Consider the following 19,567-nt stretch of genomic DNA (forward strand, 5'->3'; position numbering starts at 1 on the left):
ATGAAGGCAGTAAACAGACAAGGTCTCTGCCCTTCAGGACCTTAACATTTTGTTGGGGGAGATAGATAGTAAATAAATATGCAGTGTGTTGGATGGTGATGAATTCTTGAAAAATAAAGGAGTAAGGGTGATATCCACAGTGGAGGGCAGGGTGTTGTTTTCTGTGGGGTGGTCTGGGAGACCTCTGCTTAGATGACATTATCTAAAAGAATAGAAATTTGTTTGTTTTTATCTTTTAAAATCTCAAAGAAGGGAGTGCATGTTCAGGGCAACTTGAATCTATGCTCTTGGGTTACCCGCCCCCCCCAAAAAAAACACCTCAAAGAAATACAAGCTGTGATAGATAACAACGTTAAGAAAAAAATGTTTTTATAGCCTAGGATGTGGCATTGGATATGGTTATTTGCATCGAATACCTACACGCCCATTTGAGGAAGGAAAGAAAATTTCTCTTCCAGGACAAATGGCTGGTACACCTATTACACCTCTTAAAGATGGGTTTACAGAGGTAAGATCACGTTCCTACCTGAGTATATCATAAAGTTTTTACCAAAACGAGTCACGTGTTTCAGTGCTACTATATGGCAGTAGCACTATGAAAATAGGGTAGACGATGAGTTAAGTATTGATTGTGTTACATTTGAGGTTCCTGTAAAATACCTAGATAGAGGTTAGATATGTGAGTCTGGATTTTAGGAAAAAGGACAGGGCTAGAGATGCAGATTTGGGAATCATCAGCAAAGAGAGGGTAATGTAACCCATTGGCTGTTAGGAAACCTGTACTGCTAGGGATTGGGTCTGGGTGGGTCGCCATCTTGAAAATCTGGATGGGCAGAGATCTAGCAAAGGAAGCTCAGCAGGAGGCCAGAGGGAAAACCAAGCTTCAAGAAATCGAACACAGTCAGCCATGTCAGGTAGTGCAGAGAAGTCAGGTGAAAGGAGTGAAAAAAACCATGTCCTGGGCGAGAGCAATTTCAGAGACTTGCCAGGGGACAAACAAACTGCAGGTCAGCAGAGTGAATAGGTGAAAAGGTGCTGCTAGCTGTTGCTTATTGTTTCAAGAAACGATTGAGAAAACAAGGAGAGCTATGTGTGTGGGGGTCATGAGGGGAGTGAAGGGGCTATTACAGGATCAAAGTAAGACTTTTTAAGGAATAAGAGATACTTGAGCAGGCTTACAGGGCTTTTGAATGTTTCTTAAGGAGGTATCTCAGGGCAGTTAACTCTTGTCTGCACCACTAAATAAAAACCAAATACCCAAAAAGAAAATGCTGCTGTTGTAAAGACAAGGCTGCTGCCACTGTGGTTTTGTCTACACAGTTTGGCCATCTTCAGTTCTAGAGGAACTGAAGCTCTTCTTTAAGAGCTGCTGGGAAGTTTCACCTCCAACATTGGCTCATGGCCAGAGCCAATATAGTTACATGTTCAGACCCCAACCACCATATCCACTGGCCCTAATCAGGGCTTTCCCAGTTGAACCTCTTTGGGTAGTCTGAGAAGATGACAGTGACTAGCAGCTGGGCAAAGGGCCAGAATACAGGTTGTCTCGGAATGTACTGAAGGGCACTGGAGCTGCAGAAGGTGGGTTATTCAGAAATGAAACCACCCATCTGTAGAGTCCATAGAGACTCCTTTTTTTCTTCTCCTGAAAAGTGGAGATCTGGCTGCCACATTTATTCACTGATGAGAAAATATTAAATGCACTCATGAGGTTGGAAATCTTGAGAAGTCTATCATGTATTAAGACTTCCAGCTGATTTCTTTCCTGAGCAATGAAAGTTAAAACAAATAAACCAGCTGGGAATTCAGGAAAGCAGTGGTGGTTTAAAGGTTGAATAAAATGATTTCCAGGTGGTGAGGAAAGAGGAGAGAGTAGAATCTCTTCTAGTGTGGAAGTATGAAGAACAGCATGTGCAACTTGGGGTAGAAGCCATGTGTCTCAAGACTAGAAGTGACAGGAGAGAGAGATGCTTACAGTGCATGGTCCGTGACATGTACCAAAATTAGGAGGGAGTGTCTGGAGGCAGACGTGCCAGATGAAGCTTGTGACAGCTCATGTGTGAACCAAATATCTATCTGCAGGGCAAGTAAGAGCCAATATTTATATTTTCTTTGAAATAAACTTAAGTAATCTTTGTGTTTTTTTTTCTTTTTTTGGAAGGTCCAGCTGTCCTCAGTTAATCCCCCGTCTTTGTCACCACCAGGAACTACAGGAATTGAACAGAGTCTGACTGGACTTTCTATTAGCTCAACTCCACCAGCTGTCAGTAGTGTTCTCAGTACAGGTGTGCAGAAAAATATATTCTGTTTTCAGTCTATTTTATGTAATATTATTGCATAGAATTTTAAAAATTGACCAGACACAGTGGCTCACACCTGTAATCCCAGCACTTTGGGAGGCCAAGGCAGGATTGCTTGAGCTCAGGAGTTCTAAACCAGCATGGGCAATATGGTGGAACCACGTCTCTAAAAAAAAAAAACTTTTTTTAATTAGCCAGGTGTGGTGGTGTGCACCTGTAGTCCCAGCTCCTCGAGAGCCTGAGATGGGAGGATTGCTTGAGCCTTGGAGGTTGTGGCAGCAGTGAGCCGTGATTGTGCCACTGCATTCCAGCCTGGTCGACAGAGTGAAAAATTTAAAGAATTTTAAAAAATTATTTTAAAAAAATTTTTAAAAAAGAATTTAAAAAATTAATGCCAGTGTACCTTGAAAACTGCATATGTACTCTGTGTTGACAGGTCCTGGCTGTGAAAGCTTGTTCTAAATCACCATGTGGATACACACGGGGTTTAAACTTCTTCCCTGCATATTTTAGACCCTGAGCTTTCCTTAGATTCTACAACTTGTAAAGCCAGGACTCTGAGTTGAAATTCTGTTTAACTGCTCTGGTTACTCAACACGTTTGCGTGTTTCTGAAGTAGTAGGCACTGAGGATGCAAAAGTGAGTAGGAACTCCTTTCTGAGGAGCTCAGTCTTGCTTAGGGGACATGTGCCTGTCTCCTTCCTTTTCTTTTTTTTTTTGAAACAGAGTTTCACTCTTTTTGCCCAGGCCGGAGTACAATGGCATGGTCTTGGCTCACTGCAACCTCTGCCTCCCGAGTTCAAGTGATTCTCATGCCTCAGCCTCCCAAGTGGCAGGGATTACAGGCACGTGCCACCATACGGCAGCCAATTTTTGTATTTTTAGTAGAGACGGTTTCGCCATGTTGGCCAGGCTGGTCTTGAACTCCTGACCTCAGGTGATCTGCCCTCCTCGGCCTTCCAAAGTGCTGGGATTATAGGCGTGAGCCACTGCACCCAGCCTCCTTCCTTTTCTTCATCCCTTGTTCTACCTGATATAGTCCTTTTTGTTTGTTTTGGGTTTTATTTATTTATTTTAAAGCTTTCTCAAGATAAAATGCATATTACCATACAATTCACCTGCTTAAAGTATACAATCCAGTGTTTTTTTAGTGTATTTGTAGAGTTGTACAACCAATAACCTCAACCAATTTCAGAATATTGTATCACACCAAAAGAAACCCTGTACGCATTATCAGTTTTTCTGAAGTTTTAGTTTTTATGTTTTTGTAGGGCTGGGGTCTCTCTGTTGCCCAGGCTGGTCCCTAACTCCTGGCCTCAAGTGATCATCGTGCCTTGGCCTCCCAAATTGTTGGTATTACAGGTGCGAGTCATGGCTCCTAGCCTCATTAATACCTTTTATTTCTGGGCTGTCTTAAATATTTATATTCACAATTTGTTTATATCCCACTTTGTTCTGTAATGGACTTAAAACAGCCTACCAAGATGCAGTAGTAAGGTTGACAGTTTGGTGTCTAGAATTGGTCTCCTAGGTTCTCATCCCAGCTCTTTAGTCCTGGTTTTATTTCTCTAGATGAAATTTAAAATTTCAAACATACACAAAAGAGCTGGAATTGTATAATGAACCCCATCACCCAACTTTATCAATTATCAATATTGGGATATACTTCCCCTTTGCCTTCTTTGCTGGTTTTCTTTTTTTCCAGCTTTATCGATAAATAATTTGCCTACCATAAATTAACTCACAATAAGTAAACAACTAAATGATTTTTAGTAAATTCATAGAATTGTGCAGTCATCACCACAATCCAGTTTTAGAATGCTTCCTAGATGAAATTAAGTATTAATGTCATCAGTCTCTAATCATAGAGTTGGAAGGGAACTTAAAGTTTATTTCATTCAAGCAGTATGAGTCCTTTTTATGATATTACGATTTTTTGCCTACATCTCATCACATAATTCTCTAGTTTATTCCTGAATAGACTTAGTAAGGGTAGGGTAGTGTACTTCCCAAGGCAGCAGCCCATTTGAGTCTGAATTGTTCATATTTGTTTTAGAGTAAGCGTGTTTCCAGATGCTCTTTTTTTTTTTTTTTTTTTTTAAAAAAAAAAAAAACAGACTCTGTTGCCCAGGAAGGCTAGAGTACAGTGGCACTATCTCTGCCCACTGCAACCTCTGGCTCCCAGGTTCAAGCAGTTCTCCTGCCTCAGCCTAACCAAGTAGCTGTGATTGATTACAGGCACGTGCCACCACACCCAGCTAATTTTTGTATTTTTAGCAGAGATGGGGTTTTGCCATGTTGGCCAGGCTGGTCTCAAACTCCTGACCTCAAGTGACCCGCCCGCCTCTGCTGCCCCAAGTGCTGGGATTACAGGCGTGAGCCACTGTGCCCGGCCCTTTTTTTGAGGCAGAGTTTCACTCTTGTTGCCCAGGCTGGAGTGCAATGGCGCTATCTCAGCTCACTGCAACCTCCGCCTCCTGGGTTCAAGCGATTTTCCTGCCCCAGCCTCCCGAGTAGCTGGGACTACAGGCGCACGCCACCATGCCCGGCTAATTGTTTGTATTTTTAGTAGAGACGGGGTTTCACCATGTTGGCCAGGCTGGTCTCAAACTCCTGACCTCAGGTGATTCACCCGCCTCAGCCTCCCAAAGTGCTGGGATTACAGGCATGAGCCATCGTGCCCGGCCCCAGATGCGCTTCTGATTTTAGGCGATAGTTGACATGTCTCTTCAAGCCCCAGTTTCTCTTCGACATTTTAAATCTTTCCTCATTACGTTGTAGTTATACTTGTATTGTCTGATAAACACATGCACGGAGCTCCCTGGCTTATGGCACTGCAGAGAAATGGCTTCTTGACTGTTAAAGACAAATGTAAATAAAGCACTAATTGCTCAAAAGAGACTGAAAGAAATTGACATCATCACTTTTGAGTAAATAAATTTAAAAAGACTAAAATGTTCTAGCATCACAACACGTGAGAAACAACTTTTTGATGGGCATTTTTCAGTCTTCACTTTTCATTATATTGCTTGCAAAGTAGCCTATACATTGTAACAGTGTAATACAGTAGCCTATATAATGTAACTGTAGAGACATAAAAGTAACTATAGAGAAATAAAAGTATATGTATTTTTAAACTTTTTTGTGGATTTGAAGATTTTTGGATTATAAAATTTTTAGAAAAGATTTTGAAGTGGCATCGATCATTGTGACCTGCTTGATTTTTCTGCAGTGTATCACCTTTTTCTTTTTTTTTTTTTTTTTTGAGACGGAGTCTTGCTCTGTCGCTCAGGCTGGAGTGCAGTGGTATGATCTTGGCTCACTGTAACCTCCACCTCCTGGGTTCAAGTGATTCTCCTGCCTCAGCCTCCTAAGTAGCTGGGATTATAGGTGCTCACCCCCATGCCCAGTTAATTTTGTATTTTTAGTAGAGACAGGGTTTCACCATGTTTTCCAAGCTGGTCTTGAACCCCTGACCTCAGGTGATCCACCTACCTCAGCTTCCCAAAGTGCTGGGATTACAGGCATGAGCCACCGTGCCTGGCCCAAGTGTATCACCATTTTACATGCTATGTATTTTGATCTTTCTCCTTTTTCCTGCCCCTCATTAGAATGTAAATTTCCTAAAGGTTCTGATTTCTTCATGTTGTAAAGTGCCTCAGTGCCTTGAACAATGTGTAACATACAGTAGGTGCCCCCCAAAAAACTTGAATGAATGACCACACTCAACTATCCATTCAACTCCATTGAGAATCTGATGAAAGCAAAGAACCTGCCTTCGAAAAATTGTTGTATACAATTTTAGGAGCTTCACAGACCCCCTGAAGCCCACTTGTGGGCCCTAGATTTAGAATTCCTGTCTTAGATTGAGTCTTCCTGGCTTAGATTTAGTCAGTTATTTTTGAAACTTGTGAATGTATCTATCCTTTAAGAATGAAAAGAAACTTATGTGAAAGACTTTATTGGGAAAGAGAAGAAATTGGCTTAACCAATCCAAGCTGCTTTTGTTTTCTTAAAACCGAGATTTCAAAACAAATATAAAAAAATTATAGCATTGCTATTGTGTGTGACCATTAACAAAGCACACACTCACTAACATTTTGGTACAGAGTAGAGAACAGCTTCTTTTATTTCAGTGAAATTATGCAGTCTGGGATCCAGTAGAGCATTTGCCAGTGCTTCAGTTAGACTTTTCTTATTTTTGCTTGCCTCTGAATTCCGCAGAAAAGTAGATAAATGAATAAATAATAGACTGCCTGCATGGTTGGTTCATACTTTTAGGCACAATTTATTCCCGCTACCATATGTAAGCAGATCTGTAAGACAAAATCTGGAATCTATGCTAGATAAATGAAAATGAGTGCTAAATAAGTGAAAGGTGTGCTTTCATTTATTGTTTCGACATCAGCAAAACGTCCCACTGGGGTAGGTGGTAAACGTGATTAGGTGGTATCCTGAGGCTTACTTGTACGTGAGGAACGTAACCTCCTCAAGCTAATGTTAGTACACGTTTGTGTTAGACTTCAAAGGACTGTCACAGAACCTAAGGTCAAAAGGAAATGGACATTCAGGAAGCCAAGTCATTCTCTCCATCCTAGAGGTTCATCTGCTCTTTTGTCTCTTTCAGGCCATCTATGTCATTCTTTTCTTTCACAGACTAGCATTCACTGTTTCACAGGGCACATGGTCCCCCTGCAACCCCTGGCTTACGTGGCATCTTAGTTTAGGAGCCCAGTTGAGATTGACTAGAATCCTTGTGTCCCATATACAAATTTCTAAGACAGTTTTCTAATCTAGCCCTGCTTGGGTCAGGTGTAAACCTCTTGTCCAGTGAGCTGGGCTGGGGTGGGACTGCACGGCCTCTTGCCCTCTTGTCACAGGCTCTGGTAACAGCCTTTGTTGAGAGCTGTGGGCAGAGTCAGTGAATCTGCCGTAAAGGGTGATGGACAGTCAGTTGCAGCTGGAAATCGGGACCAAATGAAGACCTGACCACGGGGCAAGGAGGGACTGCAGATTGTCCTAATGTGTTCTGTTCATTTCTTGTCGACTAAATTTGTTAGAAATGAAAAGATTGTGCTTTCTTTTTAGGTGTACCAACAGTACCGTTATTGCCACCACAAGTAAACCAGTCCCTCACTTCTGTGCCACCAATGAATCCAGCTACTACATTACCAGGTAACCACCAGGGGACTAGAGATGTGGCTGATAATAACAGTATTACTGATATTTGCATCTTAAAAACAATGAAAAATATTATACCTGTGTGGTAACTTTTTATGTCTTTTAATCTCAGTTTATCTCTGCAATAAGTTTGTGATAAATGAGAGCTAGGGCAACTCTCCTTAGTAAACAAGGAACCAGAGATGTCATTTACCAGCTAGTTAGCTGCCGAGCCTAGTGCTCCTTACCCCCAGCCAGCGGCCACCTACTGCCCCTGCAGCTCTACAGTGCAGCATCGGCCAGGAATAAGGAATCTGCAGAAGTCCATTCTCCACTGTCTCCTTAGTGAGGATTTCCTGGCAGTCATTCGTGTGAGCCTGAAGAGAAGGCTTCTTATTTGGTCTTCAGTAGCTCTAACATTAAATTAAATTTTTGTGTTTTTCTCTTCATATTCCCAGTGAAGACCAAGTCCCTTTATCCAGCCAATAATAATCAAATACTATTTTAGTGATCAAATATACTTTCATTGTGAGGGCTTTTAATGTATGGCTAAAAATGTCATTATCCAAGCATATTAAGCCATGAACCAAATGTGTGCACACACACAATGATGAAGCAAGTGTGCTGATATGTGGACATGTGGGAATTTGGGTGAAAGGTGGATTCTTTTTACTACTTTTGCAACTGTAAGTCTGCAGTTATTTTTCAGAATAAGAAATTTTAAAAGTCATAGAGACTGTAAACCTCAACCATCAAAGAAAAATTCAGTTTCATTATCTGCCATATCTACTGAAACAAATCAGCCTTTTCTCCAAGGCGCTCGGGCCATCATCGTTCTTATTCCAGAGTGTTAAGAGTATTAGTTATTTATTTTCATCTTCACCCAGTTAGCCACCTAATCTATCTAATCACTTAGGTAGATAAATATATTTCAATTAAGTGAAATTTTGTTATTTATATTGTTATGATACACAGCTGCCACACATTAGGTGGACTTCTGGTACTGTCACTTAGAAGTGGCTGGGATTGTTTTTAATACACGAGGATTTATTTCTTCCCCAGGTCAAGTGATTTCTCTTTTTTTCTTTTCTGCCTTCTCTTCAGGTCTGATGCCTTTACCAGCAGGACTGCCCAACCTCCCCAACCTCAACCTCAACCTCCCAGCACCACACATCATGCCAGGGGTTGGCTTACCAGAACTTGTAAACCCAGGTATGTTGCAGATCTCACCCTCCTAGGACTCTCTCTAATAAAAGTTTTATTCAGGAATGCCCATCCTCTTCAGTTTTTTCTGGAGAGAGCAAATCAGTTTAACAGATTTCAGCTACTTCAAATAAATATTCATCTTTTTTGTTTAAAAAGCTTAAGAGGATCACGCCTGTAATCCCAGCACTTTGGGAGGCCGAAGTGGGTGGATCACCTGAGGTTAGGAGTTCAAGACCAGCCTGGCCAACATGGCAAAACCCCATCTCTACTGAAAAAATATAAACATTAGCCAGGCATGGTGGCAGGTGCCTGTAGTCCCAGCTACGCAGGAGGCTGAGACAGAAGAATCACTTGAACCCAGGAGGTGGAGGTTGCAATGAGCTGAGATCACACTACTGCACTCCAGCCTGGGCAACAGAGCAAGACTTCATCTCAAAAAAAAAAAAAAAAAGCTTAAGAGGAAAGAAGAATGTCTCTCAGTCCCCGCTGCTACTGCTGCTGCTGCTGCTGCTCCTCCTCCTCCTCCTCCTCCCCCTCCTCCTCCTCCCGCCCCCCTCCCCCGCCCCAGAGTAGCAGTAAAGCACAGTGGAGTGGCCCTGCTGCACTGACTTTAATGAAAGTGTACAGGCTGCCTAGTGGAGGCGAATGAATTCCCCACCATTCTCATCACCCCTGCTCAGCTGGCTGGGCTTGTATTTTTTGTTTTGTTTAGTTTTTTTGAGACAGAGTCTTGCTTTATCACCCAGGCTGGAGTGCAGTGGCACCGATCTTGGCTCACTGCAATCTCTACCTCCCAGGATCAAGCCATCCTCTCACCTCATCCTCCCAAGTAGCTGGGACTACATGCACATACCACCACACCTGGCTAATTTTTTTGTATTTTTTGTAGAGAAGGGGTTTCACCATGTTGCCCAGGCTGGTCTTGAATTCCTGGGCTCAAGCAATCTTCCTGCTTTGGCCTCCCAGTGTGCTGGGATTACAGGCATGAGCCATCTCACCCAGCCAGTATTCTTCTTTTGTAAAAAAAAAATACATATAAAAAAACAAACGTGAATATTCTCCATTATTTACAAATGCTTTTATACTCAAAACTATGGGAAATTTTAGCTGGAGATGTCTACGGTAGCAGATATTCCAAGTGTCTGCACTCAGATTTTCTGTCTGAAAATGAAGCAGCAGCTTCCTACAAGTCCATGCAGTTAATGATCAGCATACCTTAACCTTTGGGAGGGCTGACTTTTAATAGGTCATCTCAGTAGTTTTATAGGCCCGTCAGTGATGTCAGTGAATGATCTTACAGCACCATGGTGTGCATCGTCACCATCTTGTTTCTGTCTAGATGATAATTGTCCCTCTTGTAACACTCACCATCTGTGTATATTCCTTAACCTACTTAGTTTTCAGGCCAAAGGTTTAAAAATGAAGTACTAGGCCAGGCACAGTGGCTCACGCCTATAATGCCAGCACTTTGGGAAGCCAAGGTGGGTGGATCACCTGAGGTCAGAAGTTCGAGACCAGCCTGACCAACATGGTGAAACCCTGTCTCTATTAAAAATAGAAAAAGTAGCTGGGCATGGTGGCAGGTGCATGTAATCCCAGCTACTCGGGAAGGTGAGGCAGGAGAATCGCTTGAACCCAGGAGGCGGAGGTTGTAGTGAGCTGAGGTCGCACCACTGCACTCCAGCCTGGGTGACAGAATGAGACTCCGTCTCAAAAAAAAATAAAAATAAAAATGAAGTACTAGTAGTAGTCAAACTACCATTTACTGTCGCAGCGCTCACCCCACCTTTTGTGCCCTGTATTCTTGGCTCCTCCTCTGCCCTTTCCCTAAATTTGACAGGCTCTAAGTAGTGAGGATTTCACCAGCTGGTGGTTGCCCTGAACCTGTGCTTTACACCCTGCCTTTCCTTTGTTTCTTGAAATAATTCTCCTTTCCTTCATATGCATTTTAATTTTTTTTTTTTTTTTTTTTTTTTTTTGAGACAGAGTCTCACTTTGTCATTCAGGCTGGAGTGCAGTGGTGTAATCTCATCTCACTGCAACCTCTGCGTCCTGGGTTCAAGCAGTCCTCCCACCTCAGTGGCCTTGTAGTCTCTAGTAGCTGGGACCACAGGTGTGTGCCACCACGCCCGGCTAATTTTTGTACTTTTTTTTAGTAGAGACGAGGTTTTGCTATGTTGCCCAGGCTGGTCTCCAACTCCTGGGTTCAAGCGATCCTCCCACCTTGGCCTCCCAAAGTGCTGGGGTTACAGGCGTGAGCCACCACGCCTGGCCTTGCATTTTAAAATCATCATCATGAGCCCACTGAGTGTAATATAAATAGTTATCAATCACAGGTTTTAAGCAAATGCTGAGTACTCCTGGTGAGGACAGTGGAAAGGGCGAGAATCCAGGCCCCTCCCTTCTGCTGCCTTCGCAGGAGGGTTGCAGCCTACCTCTCCCTGTTGTCTGTCAAGAATGCAGCTGTAACTCAGCTTGCAGCTGGCATGGGTGAGCATGAGTCCCCCTGTCTGACATCCAGTGTAGCTGTGTCACCTGCTGGGTGGGCTGCTATCTCTTCTGACTGGAAGGATCCTATCTATCTTTCTTCCCTGAGCCAGTTTCCCCCAGTGCTGGGCCAGGTTACATGGAGCCTAGAAGTTGAGAACCTATTCCTTCAGGCAGCTGCGATTGTAGGGAATAGTTAACCCTGCCAGGGCCTCTATCTGGAAATCAGCCAAGGTTGTGATTTGTGTTACCTCCTCAACTTCAGTTTCCTTAATGAAATGTAAATAAAAATAGCCCTTTGACAATGCCTGCTGTCCTTTCAGTGCTGGGAGGATGTATGATCTATGCCGTTTTTGTCCTAGGTCTGCCACCTCTTCCTTCCATGCCTCCCCGAAACTTACCTGGCATTGCACCTCTCCCCCTGCCATCCGAGTTCCTCCCGTCATTCCCCTTGGTTCCAGAGAGCTCTTCTGCAGCAAGCTCAGGAGAGCTGCTGTCTTCCCTCCCGCCCACCAGCAACGCACCCTCCGACCCTGCCACAACTACTGCAAAGGCAGACGCTGCCTCCTCACTCACTGTGGATGTGACGCCCCCCACTGCCAAGGCCCCCACCACCGTTGAGGACAGAGTCGGCGACTCCACCCCAGTCAGCGAGAAGCCTGTTTCTGCGGCTGTGGATGCCAATGCTTCTGAGTCACCTTAACTTTGAACCATTCTTTGGAATTGGCGTGGTATATTTAACCACGGGAGCGTGTCTGGAAACGCAAACTATCATTAATTTCATACTAGTTTGTACCGTATCTGTAGGCATCCTGTAAATAATTCCAAGGGGAAAACTAAACGAGGACGTGGGTTGTATCCTGCCAGGTTGAGTGGGGCTCACACGCTAGGGTGAGATGTCAGAAAGCGCTTGTATTTTAAACAACCAAAAAGAATTGTAAGGGTGGCTTGCTGCCAGGCTTGCACTGCCGTTCCTGGGGGTGTGCATCTTCGGGAAAGGTGGTGGCGGGGCGTCCACTAGGTTTCCTGTCCCCTGCTGCTCCTTCCGTAAGAAAATGAAATATTCTATGCCTAATACTCACACGCAACATTTCTTGTACTTTGTAAGTCGTTTGCGAGAATGCAGACCACCTCACTAAACTGTAAACGGTAAAGAGATTTTTACTTTTGGTCTCCGTGAGTCGCATCTCTACTAAGGTTTACACAGGAATTCCACCTGAAGACTTGTGTTAAAGTTCTACAGCGCGCACTGTTAACTGAACGTCTTTTTCTTCAGCCTATACGCGGATCCTTGTTTTGAGCTCTCAGAATCACTCAGACAACATTTTGTAACTGCTGCTGTTGCTTTCTACATACACCTTATAAAGTGACATTTCAAAAGAAATAAGGTGCCACAGTTTTAAACCAGAAGGTGGCACTCTGTGGCTCCTTGTAGTATTATAGCTATACTGGGAAAGCATAGATACAGCAATAAAGTACAGTAATTTTACTTTTTTTCTTGTGTTACATCTAAATTACAACCCTTAATTGCCACGTGTGCACTTACTACTCTCCAGTATGTCTTATTACTCTCCAGTATGTCACGCATCTTTAACTTTTCACGTCCTATGTTTGCTTTCTCCCATTTTTAAGAGATGGTAAGTTAACTGGAATTGATTTACTGAATGAAATTAAATGCAGATATCCCTGTTTTTGAAATAAGACAAAAGTGCTTCCTCAGTTATTGCCCTGGTATGAGTCTGAAGATGCTCATCCCCTGCAGGGAGGACGTGGCTGAGGTGGCAGCACCCTCACATCACCCTCATGTCACTCACCCCTGGCCGCCCTGCTGGACACTCGAGGTCAACGCCAGCCCAGCACTCTCCCAGGAGGCCCAGTACCAGCCAGTTTTGGGAGTAGATCCGTTTCTGGGGCCAGGTTTGTACTTAAAACTGAATGATGAAAGAAGGCTCCAGCCCTAATCATAGCTGCTTCTGTTTACACTGTGTAAATGTTTCTAGAATATTTCAGTTAATCCCATTTTTTGAAAAGAAGCTTATAACAGGTGAGGAAAGTATTCACAAGCACATTTAAATGTTATGATTTTTGACTTTCCAGGATAGGAAAAGTTGAGAAAGTTACTACTTTGTAAAAGATTTCTTAAATATTAAGATCTCCTTAATATTTGTTGTTTTTACGTTAAAAAATATTAAGGAGATCCCTTAGTGGAAAGCAAGTAAGTAATTTTTAAGTTTTACAAAATGATTTTTTTTTAAACAGTTCTTCCAAGGCAATGCTTGTGAACTCTGGTGCAGTCACAGCTCTCATTTGGCAACGACGGCAGGCTGGGCTCTCTTCCTGGGCAGATATCTGTAGCATAAATGAAACACTAATCTCTAGGGAGATTGAGGGACTTTTTTTTTTTTTTTTTTTTTTGGAAACAGGGTCTCGTTCTGTCACCCTGGCTGGAGTGCAGTGGCTTGATCTTGGCTCACTGCAGCCTTGGCCTCCTGGGCTCAAGCGATACCCCCACCTCAGCATTCCACGTAGCTGGGACCACAGGTGTGTGCCACCATGACAGTGAGGGACTCGACACTCGACGAATGGACACAGACTCAGGCTAGATTGGCTCGTTGGATCTTCCCTGAGGTGGAAAATACTTCATTATTTTCTGCTGTCTTCAGAAAAGCCAGTTTCAGTCTTTAACAGTGGTAGATTTGGTACCAGGTTCCAGAAACACGATGTAAGAGAGAGTTTCCCTGACAGTGGGCCACTCTCCGTGGCCTTGTAGGGAGACAGACCAGGGAGTCAGTCCTTAGGGCCAAGGCAGAAGGATTGCTTGAGCCCAGGAGTTGAAGACCAGCCTGGGCAACATAGACCCTGTCTCTACAAAAAATTTAAAAATTAGCTGGGCGTGGTGGCACGTGCCTGGAGTCCCAGCTACTCAGGAGGCTGAGGTGGGAGGATCCCTTGAGCGCAGGAAGTCAAGGCTGCAGTGAACTGTGAGGAAACCATGCAAGGTTAGGAAAAGTCTTGAGTGTTTGTGTGCATGGGGCTGGGGCCTGTGTGCTGGACTAGGGAGTTTGAGCTTTGGCTTAAATACGGCAGTCATGAAGGCTGGAGGGGCAGCACAGTGGGGGACCAGCTTCAGGAGGGACGCTCACCTGAACCCCCTTTGCTAAGACTCTGAGTCTAGGATGACGACTGTGTTACTCTGTTCTGACACTGCTATAAAGAAATACCCAAGACTGGGTAATTTTATAAAGGAAAGAGGTTTAATTGACAGTTTCACGTGGCTGGGCAGGCCTCAGGAAACTTACAATCATGGCAGCAGAAGAGAAGCGCAAGCAGGGGAAATGCCAGAGGCTTAGGAAACCATCAGATCTCGTGAGAACTCACTCTCACGAGAACAGCAGTGGGGAAACCACCTCCATACTCCAATCACTTCCCACCGGATCCCTTCCTCCACACGTGGGGATTATGGGAACTACAGGAAGAGATTTGGGTGGGACACAGCCAAACCATATCAGTGACTTTACCTTTTCCCCTCTGATTTTTGTTCCTGTTTTATTTTTAGTCCATTACTAATTGTGCTTACCTGGGAGCAGCTTAACTTAGCTCATTTTCTGAAAATTCTGGAGACCTAGAAATGGCCTTGTGGCCTCTTCCTCACCTGAAAGGCACCTACTAAAGCTCAAAGATGGCTCTGCCTTGGATGTCCAAAATTTCTGCTTTTGACTATAGTGAAGATGAGACTGGTGAGCTGCTGGAGCTACGGTAGTGACATGGAAGCCCTGATCCCACCTTTAAGGAACCTGTGGTTTAGGCGGGAACATGAGGCAACTTCATGCAAACTGCAGCAAGTGAAGAGTCTCAGCTGAGCAGAGACCTGGAGAGTCTGGGTGAAGGGAACATTCTCTGGCACCTGAAGAAGGCTTAGCCAGACCTACATTTTAGCAGGTGGAGAAGGAGTTAAAAAAATCCAAGCAGGAGCCCTAAGGGAGCTCACAGTAGGAAAGCCATGGGTGTTAAAGCCTCCAGCAGCAGTTGGCTACAGGTGCATTTTATTAGAAAATTTAATACATCTTATTTAAAGGATTTATTTGTGAAAAGTTTTTTCTTCCAGAGAGTGGCCCGATTTTATCAGTAACTTGTGAAGGAAGGTTGGGTCTTCTCCCTGTGACCCTGAAGATGAAGGTCTTCTTTAATTATCTGACTACCCAGCAAGGTTTCAACCCTGTCTTCAGATTAGAATCGCCTCAATTAGAATATTAATTCCTGGGCTCTTGGAGTTTTTAAAAACTTCCCCAGGGAGGGTGGACCTGTAACTGCGGGAGGTAACAGGGGCATAGGAAGGTCATCGTTCTTGCTAGGTGTTTACTTTTACCACTAAGCAAAGTGCACAGGTTAGAGGAGGGATCCTTTTGTCATTTATATATATATATATATATATATATATATATATATATATATTTGCATTAGATCTAGGAAGAACAATTTCCGACTTGGCTAACCAAAGTGTTCCTTTATAGGCCTTTTGCATATCGAGCCAATTGATAAAATGGGGAATTAATGCCACAGCCAGTTATTCAAGCACTAGAACAAGAAGACGTGGAAGGGCAAGTGGGCCCCACTCCCAGCTGGGGGCTGCAGGTGAGGGGGATGGGGAGGGGTGAGGAGAGTGAGAATGTGCAGCAAAAGAGCAGAGGAGTAAGGAGTGCAGACAGGTGCAGATGCCGCCCCACTGCCTCTCCAGGGAGTTACACGAACGTGGGTACTCTGGTCACTGACAGTTTAGAGAAAACGCCACACTGCAGCCATTGATGGAGGTGGGCCTCGGACTTTCAGTGTTACCAGAGTTGAGGTTACACTGTATTTCCTGGCAAGAAATAGATACAAGCCCATGCTCCATGAAGGCCGCTGGGGTTTGGGATAATAACAGTAGCCAGCATGTATTAAGTGTTTCCTGTACATGGGGTGAATAATGAGATAAGACAGTGCTCTGCCCAGCAGACGAGAGGAAGCAAACAGGTTCCCCCTAGGCATGTTTCCTTTGAACTCCCCTGTATATATTAAAATGTGAATTAATTGCCAACATTTAAAAATCAGAAGGTTTCACATAAATCCAGATTTCTGGTTTCTCAAAGTCACAAGATCTGGCAACAGATCAGTCCTACAGGGAAATGAATGCCCCTTGGAGTCTCTGTCCTCCAGTCTCCAATTCCCACAGCCCCACCTGCGTGCGCCAGCCCCCCTCCCACCACCCGCAGGTGTCTGAGTTTGCAGAGCCCTGTGTTATCCTGGTAGTAACACAGCTGAGTCTGGGGAGAGGGGAGGGATAGCTGGGAAACTGAGGTTTCCTTACAGTCAGCGGGGCCAGAACCCGTGGGGACCCAGGATTAGGAAACAAGGTCCTTCACGGATTTCATTATTTAGGATCCAATGAATCGTGTGGAATGGGCACTAAGGTTAGCAAAATTTGAAGTAGTTGCTTAGACTGTAAACCTGATGGAGAAAATGTCCCTGGACAATGACTGGGACAGTAACAGCAATTTGAGTTTCACTAGTCTCTTTTCCTAAAGCCATATTCTGGGTCCCCAACCCATTGATCATTTACCTTAACAACCAACTCTATTGGAATTGATCATTCTCTTTTCCAGAGACCAAGGGTTGTGAATAAGAGTTCATGAATCCCTGACTGGCTTTCTTGCCGTCCACTCTCCATGGCCTTGCTTCCTGGGGAGGGGCCTGTTTGCCCAGCTCTGCCCAGGCTGGCCTGGTTTGAGACCCATACTAAGAAGTCTGCCTGAGGTTCAGGGCAAGCCTCTTCCAGAAGCACTTGAATTATGGTGGCTGGGGGTGGGGTTACAGGAACTTCTCATTTCTTCTCATAAACTTGCATATTGCCAGAATTTTTAAAACCACAATTACTTTTTATTATTTTATTTTACTTTTTTTTTTTTTTGAGATGGAGTCTTGCTCTGTCACCCAGGCTGGAGTGGAGTGGCGCAATCTCGGCTCACTGCAACCTCCCAGGTTCAAGCAATTCTCCTGTCTCAGCCTCCTGAGTAGCTGGGCTTACAGGCATGTGCCACCACGCCCGGCTCATTTTTGTATTTTTAGTAGAGATGGGGTTTCACCATGCTGGTCAAGCTGGTCTTGAACCCCTGACCTCAGGTGATTCACCTGCCTCGGCCTCCCAAAGTGCTGGCATTACAGGCGTGAGCCACCGCGCCAGGCTTCGAATTGCTTTTTTTTGTTTGTTTGTTTGTGTTTTTTTTGAGACGGAGTCTCGCTCTGTCGCCCAGGCTGGAGTACAGTGGCACTATCTCTGCTCACTGCAAGCGCTGCCTGCTGGCTTGACGCCATTCTCCTGCCTCAGCCTCCCAAGTAGCTGGGACTACAGGCGCCCGCCACCACGCCCGTCTAATTTTTTGTATTTTTAGTAGAGACGGGGGTTTCATCGTGTGAGCCAGGATGGTCCCGATCTCCTGACCTCGTGATCCATCCGCTTTGGCCTCCCAAAGTGCTGGGGTTACAGGCGTGAGCCACCGCACCCGGCCTGAATTACTTTTTAATCACTAACAACAATGGGGTTATTTTGATCTAGGGGGTGTGGATGAATGGGAGACTTACAGAGCCAGAAAAAGCCCTGTTCCGGGCCAGGCGCGGTGGCTCACGCCTGGAGTCCCAGCACTTTGGGAGGCCGAGGCAGGCGGATCACGAGGTCGGGAGATCGAGACCATCCTGGTCAACATGGTGAAACCCCGTCTACTAAAAATACAAAAATTGGGCGTGGTGGCAGGTGCCTGTAGTCCCAGCTACTTGGGAGGCTGAGGCAGGAGAATGGCTTGAACCTGGGAGGCGGAGGTTGCAGTGAGCCGACATCATGCCACCGTACTCCAGCCTGGCGACAGAGCGAGTCTCTGTCTCAAAAAAAAAAAAAAAAAAAAACCTTGTTCCATCTCTTCTGAAGCCTTTCATTTCAGTCTGTCCAGGACGGCCGCTGCTGCAGGGCCGGGGAAGCTTTTTCCCCAAGCAGCGTCATGACTGGTCAGACTAAGGGAGCTCTCTGCTAACAACCCCCAACACTGTCCCTAGATTAGAATTATCCATGAAATTTCCCTGAATAGACTTGCACTGTGACTGATTTGCAATGCTGTGTTGTGTTTGTAAATCAGTTTGGCCAGAACCGTGTAGCTCAGACAGCTATGCTGAAAGAGCCCAGAAACACAATGGCAAGAATCCATGTTGTACCCAGGCGCTGTTTTGGCTTCTAGAGCTCTGGAAACAGTGTTAGCGTCAGGTAGTGAAGTATGCATGGTTCCAACACGTTCACTCGAGATCAGTGGCTAAACAACCTGTGTGCTTCTCGGTGGTGAGGAACAGAACTGCTAGAGGAGCCTCATAAAATCAAGAAGAAACAGATGCCTGTTGTATGAGTCCAGGAGCTCAAAGCTCATTCCGATTTTAATAAACAGTTACTTGCCTTTGTCTCTGTCAAGGTTTTGTTTTTAAAGGGCATGAAACTTTAGAGACTAATTCATTTCCCCAAATTCAGATCTCTCTTAGGTAAGCAGTACAACCTGAGAAAAGAGGACAACCCTCTGGGATCTTTGGCACCGTGACGCTGCCATATTCCAGGAGAGGACAGGTGAGGGTTCGCTGTGGCTGAATCGGAAGGAGACAGAAGAAGCAGGGACGAGCCACCGGGCAGGCCTCAGGACAGGCTTAGGTTCTGAACTTGATCCCATGGACTGGTGTTACCCAGAGTGAAGAAAACTGTCTTTCCTCCTTTAATACCTATATATTTTATTTTAGCACGTATTGGGGAAAAAATAATAGTTGCATTGGATATGGCTAATTTTACGAATTAACTTCAGTGAAAAAAGGGAATGGTTTTAAAGAGAAGTGATGGGTGAGTTCTTGAGTTAATTCCCTCAGGGGAAGCAGGTGCGCCTGGAGAGCTCAAACCGAGGCCCCTGCTTCACAGGCGGGCGGGCTTTGGGGTAGGAGCTGAATCCACGTAGGTCTGCCCGGTCCCACGCCTCAGTTCTGTCCCCACGCGGCAGGTTCCTGGAACGACATTCACCTTTGTTCAGGAACTCCGGTCTTACCGCCGCCCACGTGGAGTGGGATCCGAGCCAAGGGGGCCTCCCGAGCGGGGACTACAGTGCGCGCCACGGGCCACCAGGTGGCGCCGGGAGCCTGGGAAAGCCGCGCCCCGCCAGCGGCCGCGGGGTCTCCGGGCCGCCCTCGCAGGGCCCCTGGGCGGGGCCGGGGCGTCGCGGTGGGGCGCTTTCCGTTCTTTGGAAGAAGGGCTCTGGTCCCCCGCTTTCTTTCCATCTCAGACCCAGTGCGGAAACGTGGGGGATGAGCCTGGGCGCCTTCACCAAACGGAACCCCCTTTAATCTGATGTGAAGGCAAATCTCTC

The 19,567-nt window shown here is 45.2% G+C and overlaps 1 protein-coding gene and 1 long non-coding RNA gene across 4 annotated transcripts in view, besides 1 other annotated feature; both read left to right on the forward strand.

The window, feature by feature from the left end:
• The window catches only part of GORASP2 (golgi reassembly stacking protein 2), a 38,654-nt gene extending 25,798 nt beyond the window's left edge, over positions 1-12,856 (forward strand). For both annotated transcript variants that reach the window (NM_001201428.2, NM_015530.5), the window contains exons 6-10: positions 376-508; positions 2,162-2,285; positions 7,389-7,475; positions 8,565-8,672; positions 11,516-12,856. In NM_001201428.2, coding sequence (NP_001188357.1) covers positions 376-508; positions 2,162-2,285; positions 7,389-7,475; positions 8,565-8,672; positions 11,516-11,856 — 793 coding nt within the window. In that variant the 3' untranslated portion in view covers positions 11,857-12,856. The remainder of the gene's footprint in view (positions 1-375; positions 509-2,161; positions 2,286-7,388; positions 7,476-8,564; positions 8,673-11,515) is intronic.
• A 780-nt stretch (positions 12,857-13,636) lies between these two features.
• On the forward strand, positions 13,637-19,247 carry LOC124906091 (uncharacterized). 2 transcript variants are annotated; one of them, XR_007087293.1, is made up of 3 exons: positions 13,637-15,189; positions 15,665-15,785; positions 18,694-19,247. It is a non-coding gene; the product is annotated as an uncharacterized LOC124906091 (long non-coding RNA). The 2 variants fall into 2 exon arrangements; XR_007087294.1 differs by having other exon boundaries at positions 14,593-14,890.
• Positions 19,202-19,511: a silencer, noted in NCBI's record as "silent region_12095". NCBI's record gives its function as "represses an Ori minimal core promoter by ATAC-STARR-seq in GM12878 lymphoblastoid cells {active_cell/tissue: GM12878}" and the evidence as "EXISTENCE:reporter gene assay evidence [ECO:0000049][PMID:35858748]".

Source organism: Homo sapiens, chromosome 2 (genome assembly GCF_000001405.40).
Source record: "Homo sapiens chromosome 2, GRCh38.p14 Primary Assembly".
In the NCBI taxonomy this organism is placed as follows: domain Eukaryota; kingdom Metazoa; phylum Chordata; class Mammalia; order Primates; family Hominidae; genus Homo; species Homo sapiens.